General features: G+C 35.8%; 1 protein-coding gene across 15 annotated transcripts in view; it reads right to left on the minus strand.

Moving 5' to 3' along the window:
- Positions 1-22,949, minus strand: part of PSPC1 (paraspeckle component 1) — a 111,741-nt gene that overhangs the window by 11,903 nt on the left and 76,889 nt on the right. For 3 of the 15 annotated variants that reach the window (XR_007063688.1, XR_941617.3, NR_149052.2), the window contains exon 8: positions 22,555-22,724. The exons of 7 other annotated variants lie outside the window; for them this stretch is intronic. Coding sequence is in view for 3 of the 8 variants with exons in the window: in NM_001042414.4 (NP_001035879.1) it covers positions 20,068-20,253; positions 22,555-22,724 (356 nt within the window). In the remaining 5 variants the exon portion in view is untranslated. Of the gene's footprint in view, positions 1-94; positions 1,756-16,272; positions 16,292-19,392; positions 20,254-22,554; positions 22,725-22,949 lie in introns of those variants that run through there. 5 more of the 15 variants (NM_001042414.4, NM_001354909.2, NR_156729.2 and 2 more) reach the window with 3 other exon arrangements.

Genomic DNA, 22,949 nt, shown 5'->3' on the forward strand with positions numbered 1-22,949 from the left:
TATACTCTAAGAGTTTCTAAGAAACATAAGCTACTCTATACTTAGCAATACTGATCCTAGGAATTTTCCCCAAGAGGAATGAATGCATAATGACTTGTACAAGAGTGTTCATAGTAGCTTTATTCACAATAGCCCCAAAAATAAAAACTGCCCCAAGAGCATATCAATAGAAAACTAGACAGACAAAATGTGACATATTCATTTAAAGATATGTCATTGAGCAGAATGAGAACCACGTACTGATAAATGCAGCAACACAGATGAATTTCAAAAACATTATGTGAAGTGGAAGAAGCCGGAGAGAAAAAAGAGTACATATTGTACCATTCCATTTCTATGAAATTCAAAAACAGATTTATCAACGGTGATCAATACACAACAGTGACGTCCTCTGACGCAGGATGGACTGACTACAAAGGAGCTCATAAGACCTTACGTTTATGAAAACAGTCAAACTGAACAAAATCCAAAACGTTTGAATAACTGACAGGGTAACCCTAAATTCTAAAACGCAAAATTTTACATTTTCTTAAAGAAGGGAAAATTATTTGTAAGTTCATGTAGCAACTCAACGTTGAGAAATAAATACCTAAAATAAAACCATGTTCAGATATAGGAATCATTTATAAATATTAAAAATAACACTGAAGTTTAGATAAATATTAAAGAAATATTAAACATTCCAGTTAGAATCTTAACTTTTTCAGGAAAAAAATATATATGTATATATGCCATCTTTTCCTCTTAAGATTATATGGTAACGTTTCCTGTAAGTTATCAAAGAAATGTGAAGTTCAGCAAAGACTCATAGTTGAATAAAGTACAATATGATGACTTTATCAAACATAATTAATGACCTCAAAGGAAAAATTAACTCCATTTCAAGTGCCCAGACCTGAAAAATACCAAATTCTAGAGAAAAGCTTGGAATGGATCTTAGAATATCTGTCTGCTTTATCTGCAAGGCAACTGTAGTGAGGCAAGCGCTCGTTAGGAAGTGAGACATGTCACTGAAAATTTTCAACCTTAATTTTGTCCCCAAATCCCTACAAAGGCATCTCGAAAACAAAATCCAGAATTATCTTCTTGTGATCACATGAATTTCTCAAACATAATAGAAAAAACAAAACAAAAACAGTCAAGAAAAAAACTACCATTGATCACTGCATAATCAAGGTAAGTTTTTTAAACCATGATGGACTACGGTAACAATAAATTGCATTTTTTAGTTCAAGAAATTATTATGAACTTACCTGAACAGCCTCCACTATTTTCTTTAAAAGTTCAATATTTCAAGTAAATTACTGCCACAGCCAAGAATCCCACTGTTACTTATTTAATGTATCAATCATGTTCATATATCATGAAAAGCCACTGGAAACAAATTGTCAAATAATATTCAATAGTTTATTTTACACCACACACGTAAAACCATTTAAAAAATAGCACCTTACTGTTACTTATTTTGAAGATAACATGTAAATCAAATTAGGAAAAATATTTCTTGCAGAATCCATTACATATTCATGTGCATTAAATAATACCAAAATGTTGTACTGGGGGTAATTACTCAAATATCACTGCAGTGTTATGTGCTGATCATCTGTTTAAATGCAGGGGGAAAACAGGTGCTAAGCCGAATCAGTGATGAGGTCTGATGACCAACCTCAGTCAGGATCCTTTCTTCTGCTGCCCCATTTGGCATGAACTCCTCACTGGGGAACACTACTTCTGAATTAGAAGTGTATCCAGTAACTGTATTTACATGAAAATACATTAGGATCATTACATGTTTTAATGGTTTGCTTTAACATAGAATGACAACACATCTTCTAAAAAGAGACTAAAGTCTAAAAACAGAAGACAAGTTTAAAAGATATCTGTCACATTTTGTAAATGTACAAAACTTCATTTATTGGTTGCCACAAAGTTTGAGAAATTTAGACTATATAGACCAGGTTAATAGGTAACAGAAAAACAAAGTATAAGGAAAGCCGTAACATGTAGTTGTAAATCTACCATCTCAAACTTTTCCTGCCTCCACATCATTTGTAAATGCAGAAGCTTCCCATCAGCAAAGCTGCATGGCACTGCGCCACATCAGAGCCCAGCCCAACCTTTGGCCCTTGGTAAGGCATTAACAGCATATCCGTAAGTGCCATGTGAACCTCAGAATTCCCGGCAGTCCCTTTGTTAGAACACATACTATTTCCCACTTTCAGTCATAATCAGGGCTCATTAAAAGCACTCCCAATAATTTTGCAGTGATTATTTCAGGAAAAACTATGTGGTATAAAGAAATCCTATTTTGATTCGGCTAATAACTTGTTTATCTTAGACAAATGGCCTGTTCACTAATTCAACAAAAGCACAGGAAGCACCTCTATGAGGGTATTCACAACTTAAGAAGGTCTCCCTTAACATCTCAGAAGGTCTGAAGATTGTGTATTAGGTAAGAATAATTCAGTCTGACAGAAAGAGCACTGAAATTCAACTCCAGATGTTCATATGCTAGTGCACAATCACCACTAGTGCAGCAGCAAGAGTAGAGCAAGCAGGCAATGAGCAGATTCTCCAATCAAGAGGAGACTGGAATAAGAGGGTGAAATAAATATGGAATTTTGACCATTCTAGTTTCCTTTTGTGATCATCTATTTATATACCCAAATCCCTAACAAAAAAAACTTACAATGACCTCAAGGTTAAAAATCAGACTTGAGTTTCTCATTTCCCAAAGTTTCCTTTACTACAGCTGTGGGTTCCACAGACAACCTCCCTTTACATGTCTTCAGAGGCATTGTATCCAGAGCTTTTGTCATTAATATACATAGACATGCTTTATTTTTGGCCATTACTGCTATATGCATCTTATTGTCTCTCCTCTTACATATTTATCTGCCAACAGTGATCTTTGCAGACCAAGCCACCATCACCTCTCTCAACTCTCCTGACTGATCTAAGTGCTTTGATTCTCGCTCTCCTCCACTCAATTCTCTATTAAGTAGCTAACGTAATTCCTTTCTAAAAAATAAGCTACATCCTATCATGACCTAGGCAAAGTCTCTCCGCTGAATTCCCATTTTATTCAGGGAAAAAAAATTCCCAACTACTGACCACGGCATTGCTCCACATCTTGCATTCTCAACAGAGCAATCTCCGTCCCAAGGGGGAGAAAATTACCTGGGGGAGGGAGAGGACAAAAATCGTACTCTTTCTATGTATGCAGCACAGATTTAACAGATAGACTTACAACCATCCACAGTTATCCAGGTTGTCAACATTTCAGTAGCAGGGGGTCAATTAGGAAAAGAAGGTCTAAAAGGCCTTCTGTGGAGGAAGTGATCACAAAAAAAAATTGAGAAATGCGGATGTATTAAGAATATATACATCTATGAATACAGAAACTTCTGGAAGGATACACCAGAAATTAGTAACAGCGGCTGCCCCTGGATAGAGAAGTTGGATGGCTGTTAGATGATACTGAGAAATTTACTATCACTCTGCATCACTTTGTATCTTGATTTCTGTGTACCAGGTACACATTATTGTTCATAAAATTCAAAAATATAGTTTATGTATAAATAGTATTTGAAGGCTGTTGATTTTTATTAGGTATTCTTTCTAAAGTGCAACAGTGTAATAAAGATTATTTCTAGATCTCAAGGAGGATCTGAATGATGGCTATAATGAAGGGCCTATTTAGGTAACTTTTAAGTTTGAGGAATAAGAGAATGGGGTTAGTCCACTTAGGGTTTCCGTATTTCCTCATGTTGGCCACTGACCAAGTATGAATATAGCCATCTTTAGGGGTGGGCGCGGTGGCTCATGCCTGTAATCCCTGCACTTTGGGAGGCCAAGGTGGGCGGATCATCTGAGGTCGGGAGTTCGAGACCAGCCTGGCTAACATGGTGAAACCCCATCTCTACTAAAAATAAAAATAAAAAATTAGCTGGGCATAGTGGTGCATGCCTGTAATCCAGCTACTCAGGAAACTGAGACAGGAGAATCACTTGAATCCGGGAGGCGGAGGTTGTGGTGAGCTGAAATCGCGCCACTGCACTCCAGCCTGGGCAACAGAGTAAGACTCCATCTCAAAAAATTAAAATTAATATTAAAAAATAAAGCCATCTTTAGTATATGTTCATTTCTTTGGGATGTGCATTTCTGTAACTCATCAATGCAACTGCAGTGTTCTATGGAGCTTCAATGGTTTCCACGTATTCCAGTACAAGACTCAAACTCACCAAGCCCTGCAGGGGACACCCAAATCACTCTGTGGATGTACAGAGGGTATCTCAGCCCCCTAACCTATATACATTTGACACTGGCAAACTTTTGTGTCTCATATTTTCATTTGTCAATTGTTGCTTACTCTACTGACAATTCTCTAGCCAAGATCTTTTCCCCGAGCATCAGGATTTCCTGTGCTGAACCCACTTTCTAGATGGCACAGGGCCCCAACCCTTCCATCTGCCCTTTCTCCTCTTTTTAGCAGCACCAAAATACCTATCATTTGGTTTTTTAAAACCTGTCACCCTTGCCTTCTTTCTTCCACATAAATCCCAGTCGTGACCATATCATAATCACTCCACGTCTTGATTTCTGCCCTTCTTCTCCATCCCACTATCCCACATATCAAGTGCTCTCACTTCCTGCAGTTAAGGCCATTCAAATGCATCCCACTGCCAATCCCTAGGTATATAGTGACTGCAATCTGACTACTGTCATTCTCTTGCCAAAAATCTCCTAACGATTTTTGGAGATTTTTTCAATGGGTCTTTATCACAGAATAAGATTTTAGATTTGTTTTCCAGTCTTGTTTTGGGTTCCTACCAGCTTTCTACACAGTATCAACTGTCAGCCTTTGCTCACGGTGGGCCCACTCTGATCGTATCTACTCCCCGAAACAGATATAGCTCATTTGAAGTTGATACCTAGGTATTTCTACCTCCCCAAATCTCTGGACACACTCACTAAGATAGATACTACTTCCCCTTTTGTTCTGAATGGTCGTCTAATGCTCCCACCTCCAAACAAGAGCATTCTATGAAAATCCTTCCCAACTATTGTATCTTATATGCATTTCTCTTTGCCGAACTCCCTGTAACACACTTATGTTGGGCAACAGGTTTCATGTGTAATCCGTCAAGGTACCAAAGTATACCTAGCACTACTACTGAACTGTACACATAGCAGGTGATTCTTACAGATAATACTAGATAACCTCCTGTCACACGATGCTCCCAAAACTGATAACAAGATGTATGCTTTATTGAGAACAAGATTCCAACACTTATTTTGTATTGTGTATTCTTGAATTTTTCCTTCCGTCTGCCTCTCAATTCATGCATATGTAAGTAAAGTCCAAGTTGACTGCTGAAAGGTGCTCCTACCATTATTGATGTTTGTCATCCTTTCTTTCTCCCTTAAGATCTTTTCTGCATTGTTTCATAATTAATGTGCTGTCTTCTAACATGTATCAGTTGTCTGGAGTTGCTGGAAGACAGGAGCACCTCATATCTACCCCACGCTGGCTGCGTTTATCTTCGATGGAGCAAATCCTTGCTGGACGGAGCTTATATTCCATGCCACCCAGACCTACTGTAGAATCAATTATTCCTAATCTATGACTCGAGCGTCTACTAACTCAGCTCAAGCAATCTAGGCCCTTCACAAATATAACAATGACATAATCTCTTGCAATTAATTTATGGACCCTATAGATTGTTTAGAAACCATTCATTTTGTTGACCAAATACAGTGTTCGCTTATTAGTTTATATGGCATCAAAGACACATTCACATTAAATTAGCATTTTAATACATAAGTTACTTTTAATGGTGTGATAAACTCTTAAAAAAAAAAAAAAAGGAAACTCATTGTAGTATTCCTACACTAGCACCCAGGCTATTTTATGTGTCAGTGTGTGCACTAGCCAAAGGAAAATAACTATTAAAGGACAAACAGAAAACTTATAGTCAACTGTCGACATGAGCTGTCAGGTGTTCAATTAATGATAATCCAGCCAAGAGCACATCCAACCCAGAGAAGCACTGAGGTCTGAAGGGTACAGTTCTGCTCCGGCTGCTCTAGACAGCAGCCAGTTCAGACTAGAGCAGGAAAAGGCAGGCCTCCAGAGGGAAGCCTAGAGTGAAGACAAAAGCAAAATAAAAACAGGATGATAACGAGGATGCAAAATTAAGGAAATGGCAAAGACACTGAACACTGGGAAAACACACATGAAAATTTTATGTAACCAAATACATATTTCATACTATAGATTAGCTATATAGAAAAAAATGAGTTTTGGCAAACTAGAGTTGATTCCATTTATTTATGCTCCAAAAGTACTTAAGACTATATATACTACTATAATGTGATTATTAACCAAAATTATATCATAATGTCAACTTGAACATTTTAAAAACCCTTTGCATACGCTGAATTATACATTTAATCCCAAGTTTTCATCATCTCTTGTCAAGAAGAGAAGAAAAAAACAATGCTTCTTGCAGAGGTCAGGTCCCCAGACTTGGTGGCATTCCCATTCTTCCTAACTTGTACTTACTATAAAACAGAGAGCCCAGGATGCTGAAAAGAATATAACTGACATATTTCACAAACGGAGACTAAAACCAAAATGCAGGAACTGAGTAATGTCTACCATATAACTAAGAAAAATGTTAATCTGGTCTATTCTTAGAAAACATTTGAAATCACCATTTGTAAAAGCAATCCAAAAAAGCAATGTCGATTTTACAGGTAATGTTTTAAATTCCTATAACCCATCCAACTGAACAGTAATATATATGAGGTCAAGGACCATGATAAAAGAAGCAAGCAACTGAAAAAAAGGATAGGGCAGAGGGAAACTGGTAACTCTTAAGAACTCCTCAGAGTATCTGAGTAACTATCCACTCATAAACAGGGACTCTTAACATGAAAGACCAAGTCTCAAACTATTAATTACATGCTTTTTCTCCTCCCAGTATTTGTAAAAGAGTTTTTCAATCTATGTCAGTACAATATATCCAATGTATCAAAACCTGAGAGGATTAGGTAGTCCCCTTCATCACATATAATTTTTACTGAATTATTTCTCCTGCAAATCTTAGCCACACTGTCATCTTAAAGTTCAATTACTGGAAGAATTAACTGGACCATCAATGTCTGAAGAAGTATATATAGTGATCACCTATAGAAACTATATATGGATAATCACATCAACAATGAGTTCTAGTTGCTACATTTTGCTAGAAGACCCTTCTGAGCATTTCCTGACGAGTTGCTCCTAGCAGTGAACCTCTCCCATTTGTGTTGGTTCTGGTTTTCTCTTCAATGTATAACAAAGGAAGAAAAGGTGTGAGAGAAAAACAAATACAGAAACTTATAAAACCAGTAGCCTTCATTTAAAACTCAATTAGAAAAAGCCTACTTTCCTGGAGAAACCTCAGGTAGGCGTTTTAAACTTACTTCCACGTCCTCTGGTCTTCTTACTGCTTGGGGTTCCACCAAGACCAAACGCCATTGTATTTGGTATAGCCAATCAATACAAAGAACATACACCGTGATTTTAGTTCTAAATTTTATATTGATCGTTGAACCAAGTCTTCTCCCATTCCGCCAACCTCATTCCACTCTCTGGTCCCACACAGCAGGATATCTTAACTCCTATCTATCCATTCCAACTTTCTTCTCTTTCCTCTTTAGACAGGGTACATATTCTACCAACGTCTATTAAGAGCTGGACTATTTACTCGTCCTCCCTGCTGGCTATTCTTACTCTGACCCTTTAGTGTAATGGAGTTGTCTAAGAATTTCTTTATGCACTTTCTTTTCCCAATTTTTCTTTTGCCACTTACTAGACTTCAAACTCAAAGAAGGTAGGGACAGTGTCTATTTTCTTCACTATTATATGCACAGACTGAGACAAAAATGTTCAATAAAAATTTATTGAATGAATAAACAATCTGCAATACTCATCCAAACACTTTAATTGGTACTAAAAACTCTACTCCTAAATCCATACCATGACTCCATTTTTCCTCCTGAAAATTTTCTCAGATCAGTTCAATACCAAATGTCAAACACTGTGTGAACATTGATAAAGATGGGGAAAAAAAGTAGGCATTGCTGGGCACAGTGGCTCACACGTGTGATCCCAGCACTTTGGGAGGCCAAGGCGGGAGGATCATTTGAGACAAGGAGTTTGAGACCAGCCTGGGAGCCTGGGCAACACAGTGAGACCCTGTTTCTATAACTTTTTTTTTAAAAAGTAGCTAGGCATGGTGGCATGCACCTGTGGTCCCTACTACTGAGGTGGGATGATCACTTGGGCCTAGGAGTTTGAGGCTGCGGTGAGCTATGATACACCACTGCACTCCAGCCTGAGTGACAGAGTGAGACCTTGTCTCGAAAAAAGACAAAGTAGGCACAACGAGCAAATAAATATACTGATAAAATTGACATGAATGAAAAGACTTGATGGGAAACTGTTCTGAAAAAGGCACTTATAAGAGATTTACAAAGGCCGGGCGTGGTGAGTCATTGCCTGTAATCCTAGCACTTTGGGAGGCCGAGGTAGGCGGATCACTTGAGGTCAGGAGTTCAAGACCAGCCTGGCCAACATGGTGAAACCTCATCCCTACAAAAACACAAATATCAGCCGGGGATGGTGGCAGGTGCCTGTAGTTCCAGCTTCTCAGAAGGCTGAGGCAGGACAATCACTTGAACCTGGGAGGTGGATGTTGCAGTGAGCAGAGATTGCACCACTGTACCCTAGACTGAGTGACAGAGCGAGACCCCATCTCAAAAAAGAGAGACCTACAAAAATATCTGGGAGACGGAGGAACCACCTTAGAGTTTAGTGAGCAAGCGGGGAGGGATGGAGGTAGATGAGGTTGGAAAGGCGGACCAAATCAGATAAAGTCCTGTGGTCTACCATGTAGTTGTGATTTAATTCAGATGGGAAACTACTGTTTGAAAAGAAAAGGAAGCAGAATCTGAGTCATGTTTTGTGTATTTATTTATTTTTGAGACAAAGTCTCACTCTATTGCCCAGGCTGGAGTGCAGTGGTGTGATCTCAGCTCGCTGCAACCTCCGCCTCCCAGGTTCAAGCGATTCTCCTGCCTCAGCCTCCCGAGTAGCTGGAACCACAGGTTTGCGTCACCATGCCCGGCTACTCTTTTAGTAGAGATGGGGTTTTGCCATCTTGCCCAGGCTAGTCTCAACTTGTGAGCTCAAGTGATCCACCCACCTTGACCTCCCAAAGTGCTCAGATTACAGCATGTCACTGCGCCCACCCGGCCAAGTCTTGTTTTAGAATGATGCATTTTGTGGAGAATAAGTTGCAAGAGCAAAAGTAAAAACAGGACGAGTTAGGAATGTATCATAGTCATCTTTGGTGACAGATGGTAGGTCCTGTGAGATAATATATTTACCAGGCGGATTTTCCAAAGTTTTAAAAATCCCAACCAACCACCTAAAAGCACTCAAAACCAAAACATTCAAAAATCAAATGGATTATGCCCTCCTCTCCCTCTAGCAGCTACATCAATCACCTCACCATCGACCCTGAACACACTTACCTTTGGCGTCTCTGTTCATAGTATCCTCAACCCATCATTCAAACCAGAAACCCCTAGGACACTTTGCATCTCCCTCCTCCGCCCTCCCAATACATTAGAAACAGCTGAATTCACTATACCTCTGAATTACTCTTATCTGGAATCTGAACAATCCTGACACTAAAGATCCTTTCAAATTCAATGTAGGGAGGCTGGGGCTGGATCCCTGATCTATGTGGTCTCTCTGCTCCAGAACATTGTTTCCAGTCCAGTCACTCTTACATTTAACATAATTATTTTAAGTTGTAATAATGGGGCTTATCCTTACTCGCAGTCACCTAAAAGGTAAATAAAGGTCTAAACTCCTTAACAGTGATCAATTATAATCTTATCTCAACTTTACTTCTCTTCTCTGCTACCAACCAGTCTTAGCGTCCTCCCCTTAGACGGCTTAGTGCCTCACCAGGCCTGTGACCACATCATGTTGCCACCCCACAATGCTCCTTACCCTCTCGTGCAAAAAGCCTACAACTATCAAGTATCTACTCACCTTCAGGACCTGCTCAAACGCTATCATCTTAGTGAAATCTTCCCAGTCTCCGCAAAGTAAATGAACTATTTGCGTCTGGGTTTTCAAAGAACTTTCTATGCCCTTTATTACAACAACTTGGTCAGTTTCCTTACAACTCTACATATACCCATTAAACTACAAAAGGACCATATTTTGTTCATTTTGGTATCCTCATTTGTAAACACTGTGTCTGTTCTACAGTTGGTGTCATTCATTCACCAAGCAAATATCTAACAAGGACTTGCTAGGAAATTAAGATGAATTACTAAATGACGGATATTCTAGAAGGAATAAAATAAATAAATAAATAAACAAGATAACCTCACACAAATGTTTTAAGAGAAATCTTGTATGTACGACCAAACCTTTTCAGGACTTAAAACATATGCTTAAAAATGTTATGGATAGTATCAAGGTGATAGCAAACACAAAAGGAAAGTAACAAAGTGAAAGGGGTGTAAAACTTGATGTGTACGATTTCTTTCCTGAGAACTTCGTGCTCCAACTCCTTCCCTGCAGGACAGCAAACACCAAGTAATTAAGCTCAGGAAATTAATCTCACACTGACACTTAACTATGAATATATACTTAAACTTGGCCAGGCGCGGTGGCTCACGCCTGTAATCCAAGCACTTTGGGAGGCCGAGATGGGCGGATCACGAGGTCAGGAGATCGAGACCATGCTGGCTAACACGGTGAAACCCCATCTCTACTAAAAATACAAAAAATTAGCCGGGTGTGGTGGCGGGCGCCTGTAGTCCCAGCTACTTGGGAGGCTGAGGCAGGAGAATGGCGTGAACCCGGGAGGCGGAGCCTGCAGTGAGCCGAGATCGCACCACTGCACTCCAGCCTGGGTGACAGAGCGAGACTCCATCTCAAAAAAAAAAAAAAAAAAAAAAAAAAAACCATATATATATATATACATACACACATACACACACACACACACTAAAACTTTAAATTTCAACCTTATTCATTTTAAAAGGAACAATAAATTACATAATTATAGCCTATGTAATGGGATTCAGAGATTACAATCATTGAAAGGAAAAAATTAAAATGTGACTAAATTATTCTTCTAAGATCAGGGCCAAGAAAAATATTTCAAACCACATGTGAAATATTAAACTTCCTAGAAGCCACATTAAAGGAGGGAAAAAAGCAACAGGTGAAATTAGCTTAATTATATATATTTTATTGAACCCAATGTAGTCAAAATATTATCACTTCGGCATATGCCACATTTAAAAGTTGAGAAATTTTACATTCTTTTCTTCGTAAGTCTGCAAATCTAATTCAGATGCAAAATTTTCCTCAAAAATACTTAACTGTATTTAGATTACATAAAATCAAAGATACAAAAGTAGATTAATATAATCAAGTCGTTCCAAGTATGCTTAATATTCTATCAATAACTGAATTTAAGTCAATTACAATAAAAACTTTAGTTCCTCATCTCACTAGTCCCATTCCAAGGACTCAACAGCCAAATGCCACTACTACTAGGATGGTTCAGCTTCAGGCAGAACTGTGGCCGCTTACTTCAGCACAACTCAATTCAATGAGCACAAACTAAATAAAAATCATTTTCTTTCCCCTTTGTCTCCTAAGATAGCTATTTTCTAGGCCCCTTAACTAAAAGAGTAGCTGTCATTTTCTCTACTGCCTTTATCGCTACATGGTAAGATATTATTTGTCACTCTATTACACAAATGCTATCAGGGCAAAGGATGGGTCCACTGTGTTCACACTTCAAACTGCAAGAAACTACAGTCTACATAGCAAACTGTAGGAAGTCAGTATGTAACTAAGAGGGTTTCAAGCACTGCTAAATTATTTAACATGTGTATCTATGCTGTGTTTATGACCTACAGAAAAGAAATAGAAACTGGCTGTGATAGGTTAGTCTTCTATATCATTCAAGTAATTCCAAAATAATTCAAACTATGAGATCTATATTTTCAGCCAACCTAGGGAATATTTCATCCATTCATATGTCAAAAAGTTCATGACATGAACCCCTAGACTTTAGTTGACTTTAAGGCCTGTAGCACAAACAGCAGAACATAAGTTAAGTACATTCTATTGCAAAGCAGAATCTAAGAATGTAAACACACTTTTCTACATTGTACTTCCCAGCCCTAAAACTTGGAGCATGTTATTTTCCACAAACTGCCCATCTTCCACTAATTTTTTAAAAAAATTTAATGGCTTCAGATAAAGGGCAATGTAGCACAATACACAGCCAAGAAACAAAAGAAGTAGTCTTATTTTTCCCAATTAATCATCATGCATAAATCTACATATTAGCAACAGATCAAATATAAAGTTCTATGGCTGCCCAGTAAGGTAATGCTAGAGCCGTTAAATATGCATGCTGGTGGGGGAGGGAACCACATTCCAATCAGAAGACTTCAGTAATGTATAAGATGACACAAAGTAAAAACTCAAGGCAGGTCCCTTTTTAAATTTTTATCATTTTTTTTTCTGTATTCATGTACCAAGAATAAAAGTTAAACACTGATTTTTGTAGAGATGTAACTCATTTTGGTGTCACAGGAGTTAAAAATAATCATTTCTTGACTGAAGACAATTAGTAATACATAACAGGAAAAACTGTGAAAAAGTCTGGTATCAACATATTTTTTTTAGAAGAGATAAAAAAAAAAAGTCTTACTCTCATTAGGCTGCCTGAGAATTCCTCAGTTGGAAAATAGGTTAATAAGCCACCATGGGGTAGAAGCAGCCTAATGTCGTAGACCTGGGCCTCCACGAAGCGAGGAATCTGACTCTGAACAGAAGAAATGGGGGAGGGGTGTGGTTGGTGCAATGTTAAAAGATAACACTGATTGCACCTTCTCCAAACCAAACCCATTTATGTTCACAAAAATCTCAAAATGGCTGATTCATGTGGAAAACTGAGAAGATACCAAATTCTATTTTAGGGTAGTTTTTGGGAAGCAGAGTCAGAGAGTCCCCAGGTGATATCCGGATTACAATTAAGAAACAAATCTCTATACTTATTTCCTACATATAGATATTCTTAACATACACACATCAAAGTCAATGTTATAGAATCTACTTTCTGGGATATTAAAGGACTGAAATCAGGTGACTGTTTCTTTGCACTGGTACAGTCACAATTTTTTGGAACAAACAACTGTCAATACAGCAAATAGATGCTCTCATTATGAACCAATTTAATTTTTTATTGTGCTGCATAATTTTGAGTAGGCCTTTATCACACACACACGCACACACACACACACATACGCACACACACACACATATCTGACGCTACAAAGAAAATATTTTAATATATATACTTATGGTCTTGGGAAATACACTTATCAAATCTTTTATCTTCAAGCTAGAAAAGCAAAACAAGCTTACACCAAAGAGAAAGTCAGGCCATCATTTTAATCCACCAAACTATCATTCTATTCATATTCACCATGAGGGTAAGTAAAGACAGGACAGTTTTCTAGCACCTTCATCCAGCAGCCAGAAGCATGTCCAAACATACCGATACAAAAACAGTTACATTATTTCATCTCATACTGGTATGCTGAGAATCTGCTAAGAGGAAACTTGTTTCACAAAATCTTCAAAGTACACTTCTCCACATACCCTCTTCATTTGAATTAACTAGGTTTTAAAATCCTAGTTCAAAAATGTATGATAAATGAATTTATGCATTAAATAACACTCAATAGCTAATATGTTTCCTAGTCAGAAATAATGGACTTTTGCAGTGCTTATCAACTGGCAATAGCTGTAAATGTCTGAGGGTGTTTTGATTGTCAGGGATCTTATCCAATCTACAGTGTACTGGGACAGTCAACTACAGCAACAACAAAAATCACAATCAGAATAGCCTCTTTTGAGGCACAATATCTGAAAACAGATGCTCAAAGGGGTTCTTACCAACAGTAGCAGCGTCATCACATAGGAACTTACTAGAAATGAACGTTCTTTGGCTCCACCTGAGGCCTACAGACCACTCTGGAATAAAGTCCAGAGATCTGTGTTTTAATGAGCCTCCCAGGTGATTCTAATGCATGCTCAAGTGTGAGAACCACTAACTTCAGAAGGATGTCTGTGGCTGCTGTCCCTTAATTTAGAGGACAAGTTTTTTTCCACTGTTGTATCTTAAGCCCTAGAAAACTAACCAATACACAGTAGGTCCCCTTGATACATGCTGTTACAATGAATTAATGGATATAGTGAAATTCTGAATGACATGGCACCTCATAAAATCTTATATGACTAAGAAAAGTTTTTGTAGACAATTACTCCCATTACCATTTTCAGTTATCTGAACTTCTCACTCCAAAGTTATCCTAATGTGTAAAGCATTCAAGTCTGGGAACATATTTTCTAATCAACTCAAAGAATTAACATACAGTGATTAACAACTAAGCAACTTACTATTATTGCCTCTAACACCAAAAAGGTCAGAAATTACTAAAAGTCATACAGAATGACTATGTAGAATTTAGTTTACTTTTTCTCAATACATAAAAACACCAGGCAACATATTTAAATCTAAAGAATGTCTGAAACTTAATACTGATTTACATTATCTAATAATGTAAAAATATCCTGAGGAAAAGTTAACCACGAAAGGTACACTAAGATGTTTTCTCAATTTTCACGTAATAAATAATACAAATAACTTGCAAAAAGTAAATTATTTAAATAACCATAAAGATAATAATGTAAATAACTTGTATTCCAAACATGGCAAAGTGAACAGGCACAGGATTATATATTTACATAATTCTTCTAAACAGTCACAGAAGCCTGGTTGATTGACAAACATATAATGCCCTTTTGCATAAAAGCAGCTAGAACAGGAAAGAATGTATCAGAGATCCAGTCAGAGAGAAAACATAAAACATACTGAATGAATGTGGCTACTTAAGTTATGACACTAGCTTATATACGGTAATTCCTTACATGAGATGTACAATATATAAATAAAAATGTGAAGCTGTCTTGGTGTAATAAAGAGCTAGAAAAAATTTTAGATAAAAATTTAGACAATGAAATAAAAATAAAAATTAAGATAAAATTTAGATTAAGGTATCTATTTCAAAGTCTTCAACACCATCAACAAAACACTTAAACAAAGCATTTAAAAAATATAAGGTCCACTTATATTACTATCAACACAATGTAGGACCTCGTATTTAATGAATAATTTGTCTTATTGACTAAATTTATATTAAAATATGAAGAAAATCTAAAATGAAATGTGTTCAAACTAAGTACATTTCCACTTGAACCTACTTAATTCTAATTCTATTCTTAATTTTGAGACTGAACTACCTCATGTGAAATTTGAGTGATTTATATTCCACAAGACAGAACTGAAATTTTATTTATGTGTACAAGCAGAATACCATCTCTTTTAAAGTTCATCTGATTAAATGAGAAAGGCACATTTAAAAAGAACAATTCTGACAAACTTCTTTTAAAAATACAGGATCTTTCGCAGAGGAGGGAACTGATAGTGACAATGGTAACTGAAGCCATAAAATTTTCTTGAAAAAGATTTTGTTTAATGTGTATGTATAAACTCTGGCTATATAACATTAAGAATTTCAGTATCTTCAATCTGGAAATAACAGACTTCTGTTATTCAAAAGGAAAAAATGTCATAAAATAGAAAAAACACATACACTGTTAATTTCATCAGGTAAAAAAAAGTGTAATCAAATAGTAAGTTTCAACAAAGAGGAACCCTTAGAGGTATTTATATTCTAAACGGTTTTACAGAAAAAAAGGTCAAATAAAATCAGAAAACAAGTTTTGTGGTAAGCCTTTAAACACTGTCTTACAAGCTTCAAATTTCAATCATTAATATTGTTATTCCATAATCAAGGAAACAAAAACAAATTCAAAATATTCTCACAACACATAGAAGACACTACTTTTGATATTTATTTTTAAAATTTTTTTATTTTTTGTAGAGACGAGGTCTCACTACAACTGCCCAGGCTCATCTCAGCTTTTGGTATTTAAAAAACTCCAGATTTTAAACATTAGACACTATAAATTTTTTTCTGCATTTTTTTTTCATTATTTCCCCAGAGTAACAGTCCATAAATTAACTGATGGATACTCACTTAGGAAATGGCAGACATACTTCATTTTACACCACCAGAAAAACATGTAAAGTGAACAGAGAAAAATGATTTTAATTTTTAAACTTCAGTAATGAAAGCTGCTGGAAACAAAATGATCTTGTAAAGTATAAGACTACTCCCAATTCATTGAATTATATGATTTGCTTAGAATGAAATGTTTCCATGCTGGGCTACATAAGAGGTGGACTCTTCGATTTCAAGAAATGAATCTTCATCAGTATGAAATTAACCTAAAAATGTTGTTTTTGGAGGCATGTGTTGAAATATTTAAGGGACAAGTAACATCAAGCCTGCTACTTACTTTAAAGTAGTTTGCCATCCCCCCAAAAAGTCCATGCCTAAAAACATCTATGAACACAGGAAAACATGAATAACTGTTGAATTAGAAGATATGTATATGGATATTTACTGCCTTATTCTTGAAAATAAGAAGTCTGACTTTTTATATCACTGCTATCCTCTGACACCTCAGAAATATATTTTAACACATTAGATGTTGTAACAAAACTCTGAACACCTACAGAAAACACTTAAATAATACCTTACTCCCCAGGAACTTCCTTCATTTTTTCAAAATGATGTGGCCCATTTATTTTTCACTAATACCATCTGACACTAAATCTCAACCCTTTTTAAAGCTTTTACCATAATATGATCACATCCTTTCACAAAACTTACTTGATTTCAATCATATATGTCCTTTTTCTCATTCAGAATCTATGTTGTAATGATCAACCTAATCCCCATTTACTAATTAATGACTACTAATCATTCACATTGCTATTTAGCAATTATTAGAGACTCTACATATAAGTAGCAAGTTACTGAAATATTCAACAAGTATGTTTCTCAACAAACTGTAAAGGTATTATTTCAAATAGTGTTTGAAAAACAAGAGCCAAAGTTTCAGTCACTGTCCTTGTTTACAATTCCTATTTTTATTAAATGGCAATTCCAGCTAAAACAGATATTGTTCCCCTAATATTATTGATATTTCAGGGTTAAAAATATTCAATCTCTTTCACTAAGTGCTCAGCACTGATTTCACACAGAAAAATAAAAAAAACCTCAAGAAAGAATAGCAAATTGAATTTTGCAAAAACACAAGTGAATCAGTTTTTTAAAATCTGCATCTGTCAAGAAAAAAAATATGCATTTATTTACAAAATATACAAAAATGGGGGAAATTCCAACAACATAGAGTACTAGAATAAAACTATTAGGAAAACAGGTGTTCCTTTATTTTATACACACTAATTACAAGTAGCACATGAAACATTAAGTCCTGAAGACTTTAAACTCAGTACTTCAAATCATCACACAAACTATCATAATATTGTTATATATTAAAATTGTTTCATATTACTTTTTATAAAAAAAAGATAGCATATATGACAACTTCACACTTACTTAGAAAGCTAACACTACTGAATTTCCTCTTTATTTTTGTATCTACCACTTTTAAGCAGATGATATTCAAAAATCTTCCTTGGTATACTAATCCACAAGAAAAAAAAATTGACTGAACCAGCCACAAAGTTTAACTATACAAAAACACTAAAAACACGGAATAACTGGGAGTTCAGAGATGCTCCACTTGACTGTCACTCAGAAGCTGACTGCTCCCAGCGTAAACTTGGTAAAGCCGGAACAAGGATTTTCTTGATGCTGGGAAAAAGTTGTGTAGAACTCTGTTCTTGGTGCCAGAGTTGAGCCTGGACACTAGGATGTTCAGGAGATTAAGACATCTTTTTGTGCACTGGCCTTCGAGTGTTCTTGAATGAATCATACAGAATTTCACAGCCTTGGCCAAAGGTACCTTGGTTTAACATCAAAGGATCAAGTTTCTCCCAATCATATTTCAGCTTTGAAGTGAAATACAATGCTAAAAATTACCTGAGAATTATATGAATAAAATATAGATGACGGGAAAGGTAGATTTAAGTGCAATAGATATCACTGAAAAACTGTAATCAATGTTAAAACTCCCCATACCCCAATTAATGTCACAAATTAAAGCAAATCCCACTCTCCATCACCTCATACTTATGAGAAACATGAGAATAGTCTTTGACTATTATTTTACAATCTCCAAATCATGTTTTCAAAGAACTGTCAAAAACAAAAGCCTATGAATACCACAAATTTTGGAAAATAGTTCCATCCACACTGTGTATCAAAAAAATAGCAGAACATGAAAGAGTACGTATGAAAATTTTAATTAGTATAAAAGAATGCATCAATTATGCTTTACAACCAACTGCTTTTATGCAAAATTTAAATTGTTTCTTTCCAAACTACACCTTCCAGCAAAACAGACACCACTATTTACATAGTGTTTATTTTAAAATAGCATATTATCTTTCAGAAAGGTGCTGAAAGCATGATATAGCAAACCATAATGATGTTTTATGAGAAACAGCTATGCTATGATCAGTGTCTGATGAATTACATTTGTGGTATGAGTCATATATGATTCCTTAAATGTAATTTTAAATAAACATGACCAACATACACATTTTTAAAGAGTTATGACTTTGTTTTGCAATAAACATTATAATGTGATAAAATCAGTTTCTCCCTAGTATTGAAAATCAAAATAGGTATTTGATAGTGAAAGGAGCTAATCAGATTCCAATGACTCTAGCCATTCTCAAGTAATTATCTGCTTTTTAAAATCACCTCTTGAACTGTACTCCTTGGATGTCTCTCAGCATTATCTTGAAAAACACAAACAAACAATTAAAAAGAAAACCACTGCCATTCCTTGGAGACAAATGGTCCTAACCCATCAGACACGTTTTACTGGAGAAATGTCCAAATTTTAGGGAAATATTTACAACACTGCAGAGTCAAGCCATCTTTTAATACTTCTAGAAACCTACATTCTCAAGAAATGCCTAATTCACCACAAATCACACAGCAAATCCTCACTTCACAGCCAACCCAACAGTATTGTTTTATTTTAAAGAATGTTTAACACTAACTGTACGATAATAATCGGGTAAGGTCTAGATATTAAAACCAAATAAATAATGGCAGATATGTTTAAAACTAGACATTATTTTTTATAAGCAAAAGAGATTTGCCTTCAAACAGTTTTTTTCAAGATGAAAAAGATTTATTTGGAAAAATCAGCACAGGACAAAGATATCCTTAATAATCTGTCTCAGAATACCTGAATATTCAGAAGCTATATGAAATGTAGCTGGAAATTCCGATTTCACAGAACATCAGTGGTTTATACAAATTAAACTCCCATACCCTCCCACCCCCACATATACTACTCTATCTACCCCTTATTGACATTAGCTTTCATTAATTAAGCTTCTATCTTTAGTGCTACTTGCGCAAATTAAAAAGCAAAATCATTTTCATTTTTAATGATAGGATTAGTTAAAGCAACCAAAGCATTACTGTTACAGCAAAGTTTAGTAAGACCGTAAGAGAATACCACTAATAACAGTTTTAAATTATCCAAAATGATTTCTTTATTGAGATTAACTACATAGATTTCACAGTACTATGGAATACTTATATTTAGCTAAAGTCACAAACACATTTCAACATTCAAAATGATGAGCATCATTACCATTCTAATCTACAAAGCTCATGAATAAAGAAAAATACAAAAACCTCAAGTTTTACAAAAAAAAAAAAACTTTTAAGTCTACATACATTAACAATAAAACCATTTCTTCCAGATAACAGGTAAAAGTATAAAGGCATACCACTGACTTTTTTTTTTCTAGATAGCCAGGAATGAACGAATGTTTAATATCTACGACGCTTATTAGGGCCTTCAAAGTTGCCCCCTTGACTTCCTCTACCAAAGCCACCAGGACCACCACTCACAGGACCTACACCACTCATTGGTGCTTGAGGGGTTTCAGAACCTGTTCTACTCCCCATAGGTGAACCCATCTGAGATGGTGGTCCTTGAGGAAATCTGTCATTGTGCTATGATACCACACAATAAGGAATAGAATATGAAGTCCATTTGGAACACGCCAAATATAAGTGACAAGAAAAATTGGCAAAATCCCAAGTGGTGGTGTCATGAAGTTCGGCAGAAAGTCCAGCAGAATCAGGATCACACATAGAAGGAAGAAAGGAGCAATTTAATTAGTTACTATGTTTTTTTTAAAAAAATGCAGCATCTGAAGATTTACATATTGCTAATGCTATGCCCCAATTTAAAGAACAAAGAACTGATTTCGTGACAGAAGCAAATGTAATCTTAAGCCTAAACAATATTATAATAAATCTCTGATTCCTTTTTTCAAAAGTTTATATTGCATGAAACTACGCTATGTAAGAAAAATACGTTCTTAAAAAAATCAGAGAAATAAAACTGGGGAGCAGCATCAATTCGGTTTTTTAAAAGTAAACATTCTAAAAAAAAATCTTCACATCAATTCCTTGAAGATAGAAAGCACTAATACAAACATACACAAAGAATTATGATTTCAGTATGGAAACTTCTGAGAGTGTTTTCCTTGAAAGATTATCATGGGAAAATAGTTTTAAAAATTAATGTAATAACATGCACTAATAAGCACATTTAAACATCTGAATTAAGTATTTTGAAAAACTTCACAATAATCATACATATTAATCTGAAAGGTTGGATAGAACTCCCTGAAGTGTAGCAGTAAAATGTCAGTGCAAAACAGACCAAGGGTGATATTTAAATAAAGTTTACAATTTCAGGGAGACAATAAAAAAATGGGACAGTTAATGTTACTTCTATGTTTCTATTGATGATTATATGCCACACAAAAACTTAACCAAAGTAGTATAAGTTTTTACTAGCTTTCAAACATATCACTATAAAATAAAGCCTCTACTGAAGGAAATAAATGCAATCACTGTGTTAAGCGCCATCTGTTCATAGTAGCCGTGCACTGCCTCATCTCCCTGTATAAACTATCATTTTAAAAAATCCAACTGCCAGCATGTCCAATTTCTCCAAATTCTTGAAGCAAATAAAATAATGATAAATGCTGCATTCAACTCTAAGACATACAATGCATTGCTTTTAACGTCTCTGATCACGGTGGATTTACAACTGATGACAGGTCTGAGTCTAACAGGCAGTGCTTTCTTTCTTTCTTAGCAGCATTGGCGCCTCAAGATTTCATACAGTAGTTTCAAAACTAAACTGCCTTTTCAAAATAGATAACCAAACAATTTCCCTTTCAAAATGTTATTTACAACAAGCATTAACAAACACTAAATGAGAAAACGGTTTGCCTAAAGTCCGATTTATATAGTGACAGACTTTAATAGAAATGATAAAAGGTATCATTCTTGCTACTAATATATTTAAATATAATAAAAATTACAACTGAAAAACCTTGTTTTCATAGTATTTAATCCACACAAAGATATCTTCACACTCTCAGATCAAGACAAAAAACTGTCTACTTTAAATTTACTAAATATAATTTAAAATTCTGTGAAAAGAATGCCACAATGGTGGTTTGGAAATACACAAAAACTTTAATGTTAATTTACAGCCAAATTCTTTGCAATAAATCATGACAGGTAATATTTTTATCAAAAATATTTACTGAAAACTGTGTGTTCATACATATTGGACTTTTGTCCCCATCAAATATAAGGAGTCCACACAGGAAAAGAACACTATCATAAAATGCTTGAACGTTAGAATGCTGGTAAAAGATGGAAACAAATTAAAAAGCACAGAAAAATATCTGTAATTAACATATGCATTTGCTATATACTGAGGTACCACAGCATGCCACAGACAGTAATCCTAATTCTTGGACTACTTAAAAACTATCTCAGCTGGACGCGGTGGCTCACGCCTGTAATCCCAGCACTTTGGGAGGCCGAGGCGGGCGGATCACGAGGTCAGGAGTTTGAGACCAGCCTGGCCAACATAGTGAAACCCTGTCTCTACTAAAAATACAAAAATTAGCCTGGCGTGGTGGCGCACGCCTGTAGCCCCAACTACTCGGGAGGCTGAGGCAGGAGAATTGCTTGAACCTAGAAGGTGGAGGTTGCAGCAAGCCAAGATCGTGCCATGCACACCAGCCTCGGCAATAGTGCGAGACTCTCTGTCTCAAAAAAAAAAAAAACTATCTGTAACACATCAACATATGATGTCACAAAATTTTCTTCTTCATTGGCTGCCAAAACAAATGATACCAAATTATATTAAGTGTGAAGTTATCCTTGATGCAGAAGTGTACATTACTGAATATAATCAAAATAATGTTTATGATACATTACCACTGCTCCATTATCTGGCATCATTGGAGTTCCCATATTTGCGGCTCCTTCTGGTCCCATGGCAGGACCAGGACCCATTGGTGGGCCAGGTATAGTTGCTCTGTTGTTCATATTCATACCCATCATTGGAGGAGGACCTTGGTTACCAGCAGGGGCTGGGCTAAACGCATCTATGTAAAACAATCTATACTTAGAGCTGTCCTATCTTAGTTTAGTAAACATTAACAATTTAACAATATTTATGCAATCTATATACCAAGACCATTATCAAAATTATTTTCGCTCCTTAAGAATGCGATATGCGTTATCTACTCTGTAATAGGGTATTACCTACACTCTAGAATTAGAATTTTCATCCCCAAGCCAAACGTACATAAAATCAAGGAGGAAACTAT

This window comes from Homo sapiens, chromosome 13, assembly GCF_000001405.40.
Source record: "Homo sapiens chromosome 13, GRCh38.p14 Primary Assembly".
In the NCBI taxonomy this organism is placed as follows: domain Eukaryota; kingdom Metazoa; phylum Chordata; class Mammalia; order Primates; family Hominidae; genus Homo; species Homo sapiens.